The sequence below is a fragment of the Homo sapiens genome, chromosome 11 (assembly GCF_000001405.40).
Source record: "Homo sapiens chromosome 11, GRCh38.p14 Primary Assembly".
Taxonomy (NCBI): domain Eukaryota; kingdom Metazoa; phylum Chordata; class Mammalia; order Primates; family Hominidae; genus Homo; species Homo sapiens.
This window is the reverse complement of record NC_000011.10, coordinates 49177855-49194134: the sequence shown is the minus strand read 5'-3', so window position 1 is coordinate 49194134 and position 16280 is coordinate 49177855. Positions and strand designations below refer to the sequence as shown.

Below are 16280 nucleotides of genomic sequence, written 5' to 3'. Positions count from 1 at the left end.
TTGTCACCCAGGCTGGAGTGCAGTGGCATGATCTCCACTCACTGCAAGCTTGCCTGCTGGGTTCAAGTGATTCTCCTGTCTCAGCCTCCTGAGTAGCTGGGATTACAAGCACGTAGGCCCGGCTAATTTTTGTATTTTTAGTAGAGACGCGGTTTCACCATGTTGGTCAGGCTGGTCTCAAACTCCTGACCTCGTGATCCACCCACCTTGGGCTCCCAAAGTGCTGGGATTACAGGCGTGAGCCACCTCACCTGGCCAGGATATTGTTGTTCTTAGACCAGCTTTATGCACAGTCTTCTGCTAGATTCCATTATGTGAACCAGCTTTAAACTAACTCCTGAATCCTTTTCATGGGGCCATAGGCTTTGATAGATCCATCTAAGGCAAAGCCAAATTTCGTGCTACCTCTGAGGATTCTTGCTTTCATTTTATTTTTTTGCTTCTGAATATTCCTTACTATTTTTTTTCCAATTTAATTTTAAACTTAAAAAAACATATATTTGGTTCAGTGTTTTTCATTCTTTTCAGTGCATATGTTGTTCAGAGAATCTAGATAAGGCCAGTTGTGGATTCCCCAATCATGTACTTTTTTTTAAAGTAAATTTAATATTTAATTTGTTCCTAGGTAATTATCTAAGCACTATTATAATGATTGAGATTACCAAACAAAGGTACTTTTTATTTGGTGATTAAAATCTTTCTCCAAAATCGAAAGCTAGTCCTTACAAGTTCTCTCAAGAAATTCATGAGGTTAATTTACTTCTAACCTTCTGTGAAGCAACTACATATTTAGGCTTGTGTTCACACTAGCTTAGTATGTATGCCACTTACAAAAAATAAATTTCTAATTCTTCCTTCTATCAGTACACAGTTTACAGTATATAGTATTCCTTTTGGAAGAGTATCTTTTTACCTCCTCTGAGCTTTTCTTTCTATAGTACTTACTTATTTTATGATTGTTGTTTTTCATTTGGTTGATTTTTAGTTATTGGTGGGGTTTTTTTAGCTTTGTTTCCTTGAATAGATCTAACCATTTTGAGGACAGAATCTGTGATTTATTCATCTCGTGAATTCTTCACAACTTCTAGCATAGTGCTGGGTATCTGATACTATCATCAAAATCCTGAAGGATTCATTCACCCTCTACTGACATAAAAGATAATATTCATTTTTTTTGTGTTTGATTACAGTAATCAAACTTTAACTGTTTTATTTTGATTATAATATTTTGTTTCTCTAGATTTTCAACACATCATTATTTGAACCACCTCCTCCAGGATATGAAAATGTTTCGGATATTGTACCACCTTTCAGTGCTTTCTCTCCTCAAGGAATGCCAGAGGTAAAAACACAGTGCAACAAATAAAAATGACAAAAAGAAGCCTTCCTTCTCTTCATATGTTCAGCCGATAATTAAAGGGTCATAAAGGGACTTTTAATGTAATCCAATTCATTTTTCCACATTTAAGTAATGAGAATGTCTTAGTAAGAAGAAGGAATATTGATTATATTTTATTAATGGTATTTTTAAAGATACAACTTACTGCAATGAGATGCACAAATCCCAAATGCACATTTATTGATTTTTGACAAATGCCAACATCTGGGTGATCCAAATCCCATCAATGTACAGCATATGACCTTCACTTCAGAAAGTTCCCTTATGGTTCTTCTTAATCAACTCTACATACCCCAGAGGATATCTTTCTTTGACATTTCTGCCACCATAAATTAGTTTTGCCTATTCTAATTTTTCATCTTTTTGTTCACTCTGTGTTTTCCTTTGTTGAAAAGAGATCCTTAATTTTGACGTTGTCAAATTATTTTCCTTATGTTTTTGCACTTTGGGCCTTCTTTATTAATATTCTCCTTCTTTATGATTTACAGTGATATAACTTCATGACTTATGTATACCAAAAATTAACAATACATTTTTATTTAAAAATAGTATTAATATTATCAGATTGAAGCTAAATATAAAAGACCAGATAGTATATGATAGCAGAAAGTATAATGAATAAATTTAATTTAAAATAGCTAAAAAAATATAAAATATACTTTAAAAATCTTAAATGAATGTGATCTATTGAAGAAGTTGAAGTGTGAAGTGTGAAATTGAAGAACACTGAAATGTATTGAGCAGTGAAAAGACTGTGTATAAAAAAACAGGTTGGCCGGGTGCGGAGGCAGGCAGATCAACTGAGGTCAGGAGTTCGAGATCAGCCTGGCCAACATGGGGAAACCCCATCTCTATTAAAAATACAAAATAATTAGCCAGATGCGGTGACACACAACTGTAGTCCCAGCTACTCAGGAGGCTGAGGCAGGAGGATGGCGTGAACCCGGGAGGCGGAGCTTGCAGTGAGCTGAGATTGTGCCACTGCACTCCAGCCTAGGTGACAGAGCGAGACTCCATCTTAGAAAAACAAAACAAAACAAAAGAAAAAACAGTTAAACCGTTTATGTTTCTGGCTGAGAAGACATCATATTATAAGGAGAAAATTACACCTAGATTAGTTTGTAGGTTTACTGCATACCCAATTAAAATCTTCCAAATAATTTTTGGACTTTGACATTACTATTAATCGTAAGAAAGAGTTATAAAGACCGTTGTCTCTTATTTCCTTCAAATAGACTTAAAATCTTCCAGATCAATGGCTAAATACAAAGAGCACACATGTTGTATGGGTTTGCTGTTTATGTTCAAATATCAGATGAGTTTGCTGATCGGTGTTCCTCACTGGATCATCTGTAACCCAGCCAGTGGAATGTCAATTCTTTCAAAACTATGTATGTCCATATGTGTGTTTAAAACGTTTTACAGGCCAGGCGCAGTGGCTAACGCCTGTAATCCCAGCACTCTAGGAGGCCGAGGGGGGCGGATCAAGAGGTCAGGAGATCCAGACCATCCTAGCTAACACGGTGAAACCCTGTCTCTACTAAACATGCAAAAAAATTAGCCGGGAGTGGTGGCGGGCGCCTGTAGTCCCAGCTACTCCGGAGGCTGAGGCAGGAGAATGGCGTGAACGCGGGAGGTGGAGCTTGCAGTGAGCCGAGATCGCGCCTCCTGACCTCAGGTGATCTGCCTGCCTCCGCACCCGGCCAACCTGTTTTTGTATACATAATCTTTTCACTGCTCAATACATTTCAGGGTTCTTCAATTTCACACTTCACACTTCAGCTTCTTCAATAGATCACATTCATTTAAGATTTTTAAAGTATATTTTATATTTTTTAGCTATTTTAAATTAAATGTATGCACTTCAGCCTGGGCGACAGAGCTAGATTCCGTCTCAAAAAACAAAACAAAACAAAAATTCACGATCAGTAATCTTTGAATTTACGTCTGAATCCTGTGGAATATGAAATATGGGACTCTGCTTTATGCTATTTAAAATTAGCAATTTGCGATGTTCATAAAATATAGTCTATCTAGTGGTTCTCAAGCTTTAGTGTCTGTCACAATAATCTGGATGGCTTGTAAAACACAGATTCTAGTTTCCACTCCCTAAGTTTAATGGGGTGGAGCCTGAGAGTTTGTGTTTGTAACAAGCGTGATATTGTTTCTGAGGGTCCAAGGACCATCTTTGAGAATCACTGGTTTTGCCTCCCAATTCTGTCTCTATAAATAAGAGTTAGGGAGATGGAAGCTTAAGGAAACAAAGAAAATTCCGGGCTAAGAGTGCAAGATTCTATTTATTCACAGTCATAGAACAATGGATGGTACAGTGTAAGTTGTACAAGAAGGTCTTTGTCTAAAAACAAAGCTCTTTTCTAACAGTGACAACTTGCATTTGAGAAGTGCTGAGAGGGAATATCTGTCACACTTGTTTTCATTTTCAAAGTTTACTCTCATTTTTAAGCTAATATGTTTTTCAGTTTTCTCTCCCTCACAGTTTGTTTTGTGAGGATTGCTGATATATCAAAAGACAGCCACATTTAGAGACATTTAAAGGTACAATCTCCTCAAAGTTACTTATATTAAGGGTAAAGAAAGTAGGATATTTACACTAAAAAAATTATTTTGCTGAAATCACATTGGTTAATGACTTTGTAGCCACAGTTAAAATAGAATGAGTGTGCTCCAGAGAGGGTTAACAATGATAAATCAGACATATAGTGTTATGATTAATAGTGCATTAATATTACATTGGTCTTAGGAAGAAATACAAGAGCTAAATGTAATCCTTTTACAGAGGCAAAGATTCAAATGTCAGTTTCCCAATTAGACTTTCCTCATTTTATTTAATATTACACCCACTTAAGCTCTAGTTCACCATTTGTATACTCTATTTAAATGCTTTTTAATTTTTTCTATACTACTTATCACCTTTTAATATAATGTATGCTTTGCTTAGTTATTAACTTTAATGCTCATTATTGTATTATCCCATCCACATTACAGGAAACCCCCAACTTAAGATGGCTACTTAAAATTTTTTGACTTCATGATGGTGCAATAGCCATACTCATTCAATACACTTCTCAACTTACCATGAGGTTATGTCTGGATAAACCCATTATAAATTGAAAATATCCTAAGTCAAAAACACACTTTAGGTGTATAATTATTTTCAACTTAGGTGAGTTTAGTAAGACTTAATTCCATTGTGAGTGAAGGAGGACCTGCAGTGTAAGTTCCTTCAAGGGCAGAGATTTGTTGTATTACATAGGGCACTGCCTAACACATAATAGATCTTCACCAATTTGTCAAATTAATCCTAGAATCAGCTTGGAAACAATTCTATTTTAATATCTTATGTATATTTGTCGTGTACATGCTATGAAAAATGTAGTCAAAAAGGAAAACAATAACCAAAATAAAATGATAGGATATTGGAAATCATCTGGGACAGGGGTTTCAAACTAGGCTGTGTAAAGACTTTCGAAAGGCAAGCATGACATGGTTTTAAAGAGATCAGTTTGCAGATCATCAATTACCCTGTGCGCTTTTTCATGGTATTGAAAGCTAGCCTGTCGTGAGGTCCTGCTCCCTATTTACAAGCATTTTCATCTTATTTTATAAATGAAAAACATCTCCTACCCATTCTAAGTCAATATGAAGCATATATCTGTGTTGTAAAAATCTCTGGGGCTTCAAAAAAAGAGACAATTAGAAATATTGTTTTCAATGTTAAGATAGTGAATGGTTCTAATAGCTATGTAACAAATTCTTAGCAATTCAAATGGTTTACAATTGAGCAAAATTAAAGGTAAACCCAATTGAGTTTCCAGCTAATATCATTAAAAGACACTTGAATGATGGATCAATTTGTGATTTTCAGATTATAACTTGAAAGAAGTTTAAATAAGTTAGTAACAATTCCATAACAAATCTTTCATTCCTATCCAAGTTTTCTCAGAACTTACTGTAAAAACAAGAAATGTAAATTGAACTGTTGTTGCTGATCCCAGTCTCATTCTAGCAATAATTTGTTCACCCACTGAACAAATGTGTTAAGATAACGCTTCACTGTCCCACTCATTGCATTCAAAGATATATTTCTAATCAAATTTTATGGTTATGCATTATATATAAGAATTGCAATGATGTTGTTAGACTTAATTTGATACTGCTAGTAATTATAATTATAACTTAATCTATCTTTTTTTTTTTTTTTTGAGACCAAGTCTTACTCTGTCGCCCGGGCTGGAGTGCAGTGGTATGATCTTGGCTCACTGCAACCTCCACCTCCCGTGTTCAAGCAATTCTCATACCTCAGCCCCCGAGTAGCTGGGATTACAGGCGGTGCCACCACGCCCAGCTGATTTTTGTGTTTTTAGTAGACATGGGTTTTCACTATGTTGGCCAGGCTGGTCTTGAACTCCCAACCTCAAGTGATCCACCCAACCCAGCCTCCCAAAGTGCTGGGATTACAGGCATGAGCCACCATGCCTGGCCTATAATTATAACTTACTCTTGAAGCTGTTTCTTAACACAATCTGTCACAAAAATAAATTTTTTAAAAAATTTGACTTATAAAGATATACTGATTCAAGGAAATTTGACAGTGATTAATAAAAGACTTTCAAGCATACCCATATTTAAGGTAATAGATTCTGAATTGAAATTTAGAATGCTAGTTGATAATTGTGGAGTGTTCTCTTGGGATCAACATCTGTGAAAAGCAGAGCTGGATTAGGCAGAGGGAGAAGTCACCCTGCAATGCCAGCTGAAGGATAGCCTTGGCTAAGCCCATAAGGAGGTCTGGAATAGTTTCTCAGAATTGTCCTACGTTAGACTGAGATGTCCAGGTCTCTGTACCCTCACATCAATCAGTCACTGAATGTGTGGCATTCTAGAAAGGGACATGACCTTGAGCAAGGGGGCTGTCTACAGCTGAGGCAATCCTTGAAGGGGCTGACAGATGAAGATTGTCTGCAGAGAGCCTTCCCTGCAGCTGGAGCAAAAAGTCCTTCATTGACCGTGAATCTGGACAGCTCATCTGGTGCCCAGCACAAATATATTTTACTTTAGAGTAAAATTCTGTGGGGGAAGATGGACAATATACAAGTTCAAGAAAAAAAAAGAGATGACAAAATTTTGACTGTAAAGAACAGCATGTTCATGTATTTTTTAAAATTGATGATGTTGAATAGTAAATAAATACAGTATTTAAATCATTTGGATCAATATAAAAGTTGTATACAATTTCTTCTAAAAATATTAATATTTATAGTAAGCTAGATATTGCATGCTTTGCAGCTACTTAAAGGTATGATAAAAAATTTTAAATTTTAGATGAAGGGGGACATTGTCAAAATTAATTTAGGGAATAGGTGAGCAAAAAAGGTTGGAAGATCACTGATTTAATCTAGCAGATCATTGAGCCAATGAGAATATCGAGACTCAAATATGTTATAAGATTTGCACATAATCACTTAATGATTGAAATCAGACCTGTGAAGCAATGATGTTACCTGTGCATTTTTCTTTACTTGGTGGTTGTTAAGAACCATTAAGCTACTCCCTGTGAACACACACTGAAGAGAGAAAAGGTCTCATTAAGGGCTTCTTAGCCTAGGGTATCTGGACACCTTCAAGTTGCGTGCAGCAATGTGTACACGTATATGCTTTTCTGTGTGTGTGTGGGGGGGGTGCTTCTGTAGCTTCAGCTTCGTAGCCACTAAATATGGGACAAATACAAACAAATATTACTTTATTCATGTGCTTCTAGCCCATCTAATTCCATTCTCAATTTAAATTCATTTTTCCCTTGAATCTCTTCTTTGGAGCTCATGCATTTCTGACCTTCCTGTGTGCTCTGACCTCTTCCCTCTTTCAAAAATGTCCAACAGTCCCCATGCAGAAAAACCTCCTTGTTTTATATCTGACTCATATTAAGTCATTCCCGATCTCAACAGGGCGATCTAGTGTATGTTAACTATGCACGAACTGAAGACTTCTTTAAATTGGAACGGGACATGAAAATCAATTGCTCTGGGAAAATTGTAATTGCCAGATATGGGAAAGTTTTCAGAGGAAATAAGGTAAGGTAAAAATTATCTCTTTTTTTCTCTCCCCCAATGTAAAAAGTTATAGTGGGTTTTACATGTGTAGAATCATTTTCTTAAAACTTTATGAATACCATTATTTTCTTGTATTCTGTGACATGCCCACCTTACAGAGAGGACACATTTACTAGGTTATATCCCGGGGTTAAATTCGAGCATTGGAATTTGGCCAGTGTAGATGTTTAGAGTGAACAGAACAAATTTTTCTGTGCTTACAGGTTATGGCTGTGGCCTACAAAGAAGCATGCACTGGGTTTATTATTAACTTTCAGTATCTTTGTTTTAAATATTTTCTACAAAAATGTTTACTAAATTAAATTGTAGTATGAATTGTTATAAATAATGAGGGAAAACAATTTACACATAGCAAATTTAAAAATTACTGTCATTTGATTTGTTAATATATTTTTCTCTTTAGTGGGAAATTAAATTTTAAAAAATTCCCTTTCGACTGTAGAACAAATAGGAATTTGGCCTGTGGGGTCTACTTGCTTATTATATTTGTAAGCTAGTGGTAGGAAATAGCAAATGCTCACTACCACTAATAAGAACATTTCTAAATCTGATGTTCTGAGGATTTTTAGAGCTTATAGTAGCAAAAAGAAAAGGGAAATTCTATCCGAGATGTCCTTTGTTGTAGGCCTAATGAGAAAAGGTTGAAGATAAAGTTCTGGTACTCATTTAAGTGTAATATTGAAAATTGATATTACCGAATCTGGAACAACCAATTTAAAATAAGGAAAGAAAGACACTGTGTTTTCTAGGTTAAAAATGCCCAGCTGGCAGGGGCCAAAGGAGTCATTCTCTACTCCGACCCTGCTGACTACTTTGCTCCTGGGGTGAAGTCCTATCCAGATGGTTGGAATCTTCCTGGAGGTGGTGTCCAGCGTGGAAATATCCTAAATCTGAATGGTGCAGGAGACCCTCTCACACCAGGTTACCCAGCAAATGGTGAATGATCAATCCTTGAATATCATAGGAAACTTAACATTTGAAAGAGACTTTATTAAAGAATTTCCTTTGGTACAATGGACTAAGCATGTCTTTTTTTATTCTCTTTGCATTTAAGAATGAAAGAATTTTGAACTCTAAAGTGATTGGTTCAGGCCCCTTACCCCCTTATTTTGAAACTTGGGCCTGGTGGGCTTTCAAATTCAGACTTATTCAGCTATTTAAAAAACATTATGGTGTTACACATATACCATAACTTGCATAACAGTGACATAGGGGGCTGGGACAGAATATGGGGAAAAAGTATATAAATATTTTTGTTGCAGAGTGTATGAATACTTACGCTAAGTAGTAAGTGGGGGGCGGGGAATAAGGAATATAAACAGACTTATGTCTACTCAAGTCAAATTTTGCTTTCAAATGAGTTCAGGTCAGATCAGGTTTTGCTGTTAAATAAATTCCCCCCAGATTTACAGATTTCACAGTGTGGGTAAGGGACAGGAGAGCAGAAGTTCCATAAACTTTTTAAATGGCCAATTTAGGATATAGGGCCCAGGAAATGCATATTGCTTCATTTCTGTAAGATAACAGAGATAACTTTCAAAGAGTGTTTCCTAAATGCCAGCATTTTACTTGCATTAACAACCCTAAAGCTAGGGGGTGTTATTATCTCTTATTCACAGGGAGGAAAGTGAGACTAGAAGTCAGCCCAAGATCACCCCTCCTCTGAATGGGCAGTTGGATTCAAATTCAGGCAGTCTGGCTCACAGAGTCCACATAGTAGTCTTATGCTGAAAGGCTCCCCTGTAAAACATTAACAAAGGGAGCTAATTTATTTTGAATGTGCTCAACTATTTAATGATGTTTACAAAAATCTGTGATCATTAAGTTTGTGTGGTTTAAAGCTAACTAAATTTTTAAAACTTGTATAAAATACTTTGCCAAGTTTTCTATGACATTTATGTCTTCATCTGGTTTTACTCTTAAATTGTAGACTCCTGTAAAGAGTATGTATTTTTTTTGGCTTTGTAAATCTTCTTAGAACATAATACATTGTCAGAGATTTTTTTCTTTTTTAAAAAATGACACATATTACCCTATAGTAAAATTATATAAATCTACCTGAACTTCATTTGCTCCACCTTTTTATTTCCAAGTTTTAAAAAATGCAGCTTAGCCTAAGCTTTATTAGTTATGCAAAGTCAAAATAATGAAAATAAAATGAGATTAACTGGAATGTTTCTGTTGATTTTCTTCAAATTTGAATGATGGTATTTTAGGGAGAAATTATGTTATTTCTATGGGGCTAATGTTTATTGAATTATATTTTGTGCTCTATACATTTTTATTTTCTTTCTAATTTTACTTTTTATTATGGCATAATTCTAACATATACAAAAGTAGAGACAGTCATCAACATGTTGTCAATCTTGTTTTATTTGTTTATCTCTCCAATTTTATTTTGCTATTATTCTAAAGAATTTGAAAACAAATCCCACACAGCATATCATTGTGTCATTTTACCCATAAAAACAAGGATTTGCAGTTACCTAAGTTTCTTATTAGATTGTTTTAAAAACAGAGAAAAAAATGGAAAAACAACTCTGATTTTTCTTAAGTCTGAAGAAATGATAGGATGTGTGTGCTTATTTTGAGGTACAGTTTACATGCAATAAAATACATAGATCTCAAGAGTTCAGTTCAATAAATTTTGCAAATTGCATGTGTTTATGTCACTTAAAATAGAATATAAGGGCCTTTCCATCACTCTGGAAAGTTCTTTTGTACCCCTTTCTGGTCAATTTTCTCTGTGTCCCCTAGAAGCAATCACTATCTAGTATCTAGCATCGTGTATTCGTTTGCCTGGGTTTGAACTTCAAGTAAGTGGAATCAAACAGTAGATTTTTTTTTAAAGCCTTGCTTATTTCAGTGTAGTAATTTGAGATTTTCTATCATATTGTATGTATTAGTTTTTTTCTTTTGATGATTGAGTAGCATTCCATTGTGGGATTATACTACGGATTGTTTATTCATTCTTCTGTTGTTAGAAACCTAGACTTTGTCTAATATTTGGCTAATATAAATGTGGCTGTTATGAACAATTTTGTACACGTCTTCTTGTGGGCATGTGCTCATCTTTCTAGAGTACCCAGGAGTGGAATTGCTGTGCCATAGTGCACATTTCTGCTTGACATTGCTTTTCAAAAGAGTTACCTTAAGTGATTGTATAATTTTAGCCTAGATTATCACAAGCAATGTATGAGGATTTCAGTTGCTCTGCATTCTCGCTAACATTTGAATTGTTAATCTGTTTTACTTTAACAATTCTAGCAAATGTGAAATTAGAATGTATTTAATGTGATTTATAGAGAACCGTTTGAATGAAACTGAGTTTTTACTGGAAATATGGCAATTTTTTTTTTCAGAATATGCTTATAGGCGTGGAATTGCAGAGGCTGTTGGTCTTCCAAGTATTCCTGTTCATCCAATTGGATACTATGATGCACAGAAGCTCCTAGAGTAAGTTTGTAAGAAACCATGGATGGCTATTTGGGTAATTTTCTTATTGACAGTTTTCAAATGTTAGGCTTTTATCTCCATTTTTTAGTACTTAAATTTTCCAACATGGGTGTTGCTTGTAATTTTATCAGTATAAAATAGAAGAGTGGTTCTGTTCTGGAATTTAGTATATACATGAGTATCTAGTGTATGACAGCCATGAAAATGAACCTTTCAGATGTTTAACTTCAGGGAACCTAATTGATCAATTGCTCCAGACATTGTGCTTTGAAACCCCACTATATTTTTGTCAAGACCATGCTTCCTGTAGGTGTTCTCGGGCAATGACTCAGTGTGGCAAGGATACTACTGCAGGCCTGTTTCTGGAAGGCACTGGACTCCTCTGATGCAAAACTTTGGCCCAGGGACTCCTTGATAGCCTCGCTTAAATAGATGCTGCACCCAACACTCCTCTTTCTTTTCCTCCTCCCTTTTTCCTTTATTCAATATTAGACCTACCTTGCAGTCTAAGGACTTTCTCAGGGTTTCCTAGCTCTCTCCTCATTTTCCACACATGCTTTTCCCTAGTAAATCTCTTACTCATGTATTCCTCTTACTGGCTACGTCTGGGAGGACCCAGAATAACACACTATGAGAGCAACTTCCATTTTGTTTTTATCTCTATTCTTCTTCCCCTTCTGCTTTCATTATTGAAACTTTCTGCTTTCATTATTGAAACTTTCCCAGATTTGTTCTGCTTAACCTGGCATTGGAACTGTTTCCTCTTCCCTGTGCTGCTTTCTCCCATTGCCATGTCCTTTTTTTTTTTTTTTTTTTTTTTGAGACAGTGTCTCACTCTGTTGCCCAGGCTGGAGTGCAATGGTGCAATCTTGGCTCACTGCAACCCCCGCCTCCTGGGTTCAAGTGATTCTCCTGCCTCAGCCTCCTGAGTAGCTGGGATTACAGGTGCCCACCACTATGCCCGGCTGATTTTTGTATTTTTAGTAGAGATGGGGTTTCACCATGCTGATCAGGCTGGTCTCGAACTCCTGACCGCAGGTGATCCGCCCTCCTTGGCCTCCCAAAGTGCTGAGATTACAGGCATGAGGCACTGCGCCCAGCCACCATTATTCTTTAGAGGTGAGAGAACACTGGCTTTTCTAAAAGTGAAATTGATAGAGACCAAAGCGTCTGGCCAGGTAGTCCCTTTTCTTCTTTAAGTTCAAGCCTTTCTTACTAATTTTATTCCAGTATCTATGAGGAAGCACTTTTTGACCAAGGGCAAGGCACTCATTTTTAGAGGTGAGGAGGCTGACGTCTGGGGAGTAGGACACATCTGTTCAATTTAAGGGCAGATTAAGAAAGTACCCTGGTCTTTCTTCCTTGGGGCTATAAGATTTACTGCATTGGTTAAGATTCAGGACCAGGCACAACTTTTGATAGCACCATAGACTATGCATTTGCCTAAAAATATGTATAAATAAAGACTAAGTATTCATGACATTTAAAAGATAAAAGTGATTTTAGCATTACTTGTAATAGTGGAAAACTGTAGACAACACAAATCTTCAACAATTTATATGTACTCGAATAATACATTAATTACTCTGATAGTAAATGAAGTGATTAAAAGATATTATATGTAGTACCAGAATAATTAATAATATAGAAAAATGCTTATATTATTAAGTGAAGAAAAGCAAATTTCAAAACTATATATATATAGTATTATCTCAGTTTTATAAAAAATTAAAACATGGGGCTGGGCGCGGTGGCTCACACTTGTAATCCCAGCACTTTGGGAGGCCGAGGCGAGCAGATCATGAGGTCAAGAGATGGGGACCATCCTCGCCAACATGGTCAGTGAAACCCCGTCCGTACTAAAAATACAAAAATTAGCTGGGCATGCTGGTGCATGCCTGTAGTCCCAGCTACTCAGGAGGCTGAGGCAGGAGAATCACTTGAACCCGGGAGGCAGAGGTTGCAGTGAGCCGAGATCGCGCCACTGCATTCTAGCCTGGGCGACAGAGTGAGACTCCGTCTCAAAAAAAAAAAAAAAAAATTTAAAACATGAACCTGTATTATCTTTGTAATTACAAAAGAGGGATGCATAATATTATGGAATTAGATGTGAGATTTATTTAGACGTCTACGATTTGGTCTGGTTTACTAGGTCAATATCAGCTGTGCTCTGATTGTGTAATGGAATTATCTGATTGATTGAAAAATAACAAACACAATTCATCTGACATTACTGTGTCAGCCTCTGTAAGCCATTTTACAAATACAATCACCGTTAATAACATAACTTTCATGAAAAAGTGCATTTTACATTCAAAATTTCATAATTAAAAATAGACACTATTTATCCACCTATACTTTCTAAGCCATAATGAAACAGTCCATATAAGTGGAATTTAGTTTTAAAAAATTGTTTAAAAGAACATATGGTTTGTTTATGAATTTCACTGTGAAAATTTACTCTCTTGGCACACGTACCTTGGGAGTGTGCCAAGATACTCAATTCTGAGGTTCTCTCAAGTGGTTAGCAGTTTAGCATTGTGCACTAATTAGAAAAGACAGTGTTTTACAAATGGAATATATCATGAAATAAAAGTTTATTAATAAATGTGTGAGTAAATGAGGAGAGATATAAAGTCATATAATGGCCGAAGAATGCTGAGAACTTAAATAAAAAGTTGATGAAATGTGAGTGATGTTAAAAACTTCAATGTTGACTTGAGTGGGACAGAAAGGGGACACCATATATACTGTTTCCTATTTTTCTTTACATGTACCCTGAACACAGTGTGATTATGTGGTTTTAATTTGCCTTCTACAGTAACTTCCAGGACGATAATTATAGTGCCAACGGCAACAGTAATAGCATGTATCCTGCATGGAGGGCTAATTACGCTTTAGCACTTACTGTTGTGCTAAATGCTTTACACACATCTCCTCAATTAACCTATAAAACAACAATATGAGTTAGTATTGTGATACTCATTGTAACCAATGTTCAGAGAGTAAGTGAGAGAGCCGGGGCCCAAATTGATGTCTGATGCAAAAGACACTTTGGTAAACACTACTTACTCTCTACTCAATGACGCAAGCATTTAGTAGCCACCTCTGTTGATTATAGTATTGGCTCATTCTTATGCCTCTGCTCGGGAGACCTTTAATGGCGTCTCACAGCCCACTCACTCAAGAAACATTTATAGAATGACTTTTATATTTCAGGCACTGTGGTAGAAGTAGGAATTAGGTAAAGTCAGTAGTAATGTCCTATCTTGTATTCTTGATTTTAGTAATTACTTTTTAAACTTGGTCAGTTTAACTAATGGTTTGCTGATTTTGTTGATCTTTTTAAAGAATCACCCTTGGTTTCATTGATTTTCTCTATTTATTTTATTATTTCTCTTTCAATCTTTGTAATTTCCTTTCTTATGCTTTAGAGTTTAGTTTAGTTTTCTTTGTCCAGTTTCTTAAGGTGAAAGCTTAGCTTAATGATTTGAGATTCTTTCTATATAGGTGTTTACAGCTATGTATTTTCCTTTAAGCACTGTTTTTGCTGCATCTCATAAATATTGGTATGTTGTGTCTTCATTTTCATTCATCTCAAAGCATTTTTAAATTGTATTTGCAAGTTCTTCTTTGACCCATTGGTTATTTAGGAGTTAGTTGTTTAATTTCCATATATTTGTGAATTTCCTAAATTTACTTTTGTTATTGATTGCTAAATTCCTTTTATTGTGGTTGGATTAGTAAAAGAAGTATATGAGTAATAAAATGATTGTATAATTTCAACCTTTTAAATTTATCCAGGCTCGTTTTACAGACGTGATTTATTATGAAAAATGCTCCATGTGCACTTGAGTTACACTATTTTTCAATTTCTTTCTCAAGGAATCTTAGTCATTTTATATCCCAGCCAGAATAGTCATCATGCCTTACACTTGCTCTATGCTTGCCTGCCTCTGTGCCTGGAAGGCTCTTCGCCCTCATTTTTCCATGCCCGGCCCTTATTCATCTTTAAAATCCAGATCAAGTGAAACCTTCTTTAGAAAGTAATTCCTGATCTCACAAGCTGATTCAAGCTTTCTTTTGTCCAAATTTTTTAGAATTTTACCTTTGCTCTGTGATGTTCTGTTTTATATTATGATTGGTTTTATATGTATTTTCTTCTGAGTGATTTATAAACTCTTTGGTGGAAAGACTGAGTCTTGTATATATTTATATTTTTTAGTGAATAAAACACAGTGCCTTAAACATAGTAGACAACAAGTCTTCTCCAAATTGTCAAATCAAAATTAATATGCTACAAGATACAGAATTATAAACTCAATACTGTCTATACATTAATTACTGGACATCTACCATCTACCAAATATGTTCGGAGACATTTTCCAACATTTAATGGTACTTTCTAATATTTTTGTGGTTTGAAATTTTAATATTCAACTATTAAATATTTGTGGAATTTATTTTTTATTTATAAAGTGAGAAAATGACCTAAAGAGATTTATTTCTAAAGAGAACCTAAAGAGAACCTAAAGAGAAATTTCAGTAACATTTTTCAACTGAAACTTCTCCATGTATGTGCATTATTTTTTTCATTGGTATATTAGATTCTTATATATAACTATTATTATGTTCTCTTCTAGTTATTTGTCTACCTCCTTGTGGGGACACTACAATCGTGGTTTTATATTGTGTTGTTTTATGGAAATATGGACTATTAATTTTTATTCTGAAAAGGAAATACATTTACAAAGTTCACAATTCAAAAGGATTTATAGTAAAGTTTTCCTCTCATCCATTTACACCCCCAAAGCAACTGATGTTATTAGTTTATAGTGTATTAGCATAGTTCTCTGCTGCAGAGAGAGGTCCCGGAAAAAGTGTGTTGCTGGTCCACTGCAAAATGCAGAGGGTTTTATAGATGAGCTGGTGAAGAGGTAGTGTCTGATTTATATAAGTCATGGACAAACTGGTTAGACCAGGTGTGTCATTTGCATAGGGTGTGAATTTCTGGTGGCCCCACCCTAATCTTTTATTCTTCAGGTGAGTTCTCTGCCTGAGCTGCGTCATAGTGCTCATTTCTCTGTTACTGTGCATGTGATAACAAAACCACGGAAGATAGACCCTCTATGTGTACATGCCTGGCCCCCAGGTAGCCTTTTTTTTCTTTTGTTTTTTTTTTTTTGAGACTGAGTTTTGCTCTTTTTGCCCAGGCTGGAGTGCAATGACGTGATCTCGCTTCACCGCAATCTCTACCTCCCAGGTTCAAGTGATTCTCCTGCCTCAGCCTCCCA

At 35.6% G+C, this 16280-nt stretch overlaps 1 protein-coding gene across 15 annotated transcripts in view; it reads left to right on the top strand.

Moving 5' to 3' along the window:
• Positions 1-16280, top strand: part of FOLH1 (folate hydrolase 1) — a 63511-nt gene that overhangs the window by 14468 nt on the left and 32763 nt on the right. For 14 of the 15 annotated variants that reach the window (XM_047426681.1, XM_047426678.1, XM_017017434.2 and 11 more), the window contains 4 exons: positions 1241-1342; positions 7366-7491; positions 8280-8466; positions 10893-10986. In XM_047426681.1, the coding sequence (XP_047282637.1) occupies positions 1241-1342; positions 7366-7491; positions 8280-8466; positions 10893-10986 (509 nt within the window). The remainder of the gene's footprint in view (positions 1-1240; positions 1343-7365; positions 7492-8279; positions 8467-10892; positions 10987-16280) is intronic. The other variant, NM_001193473.3, reaches the window with a different exon arrangement.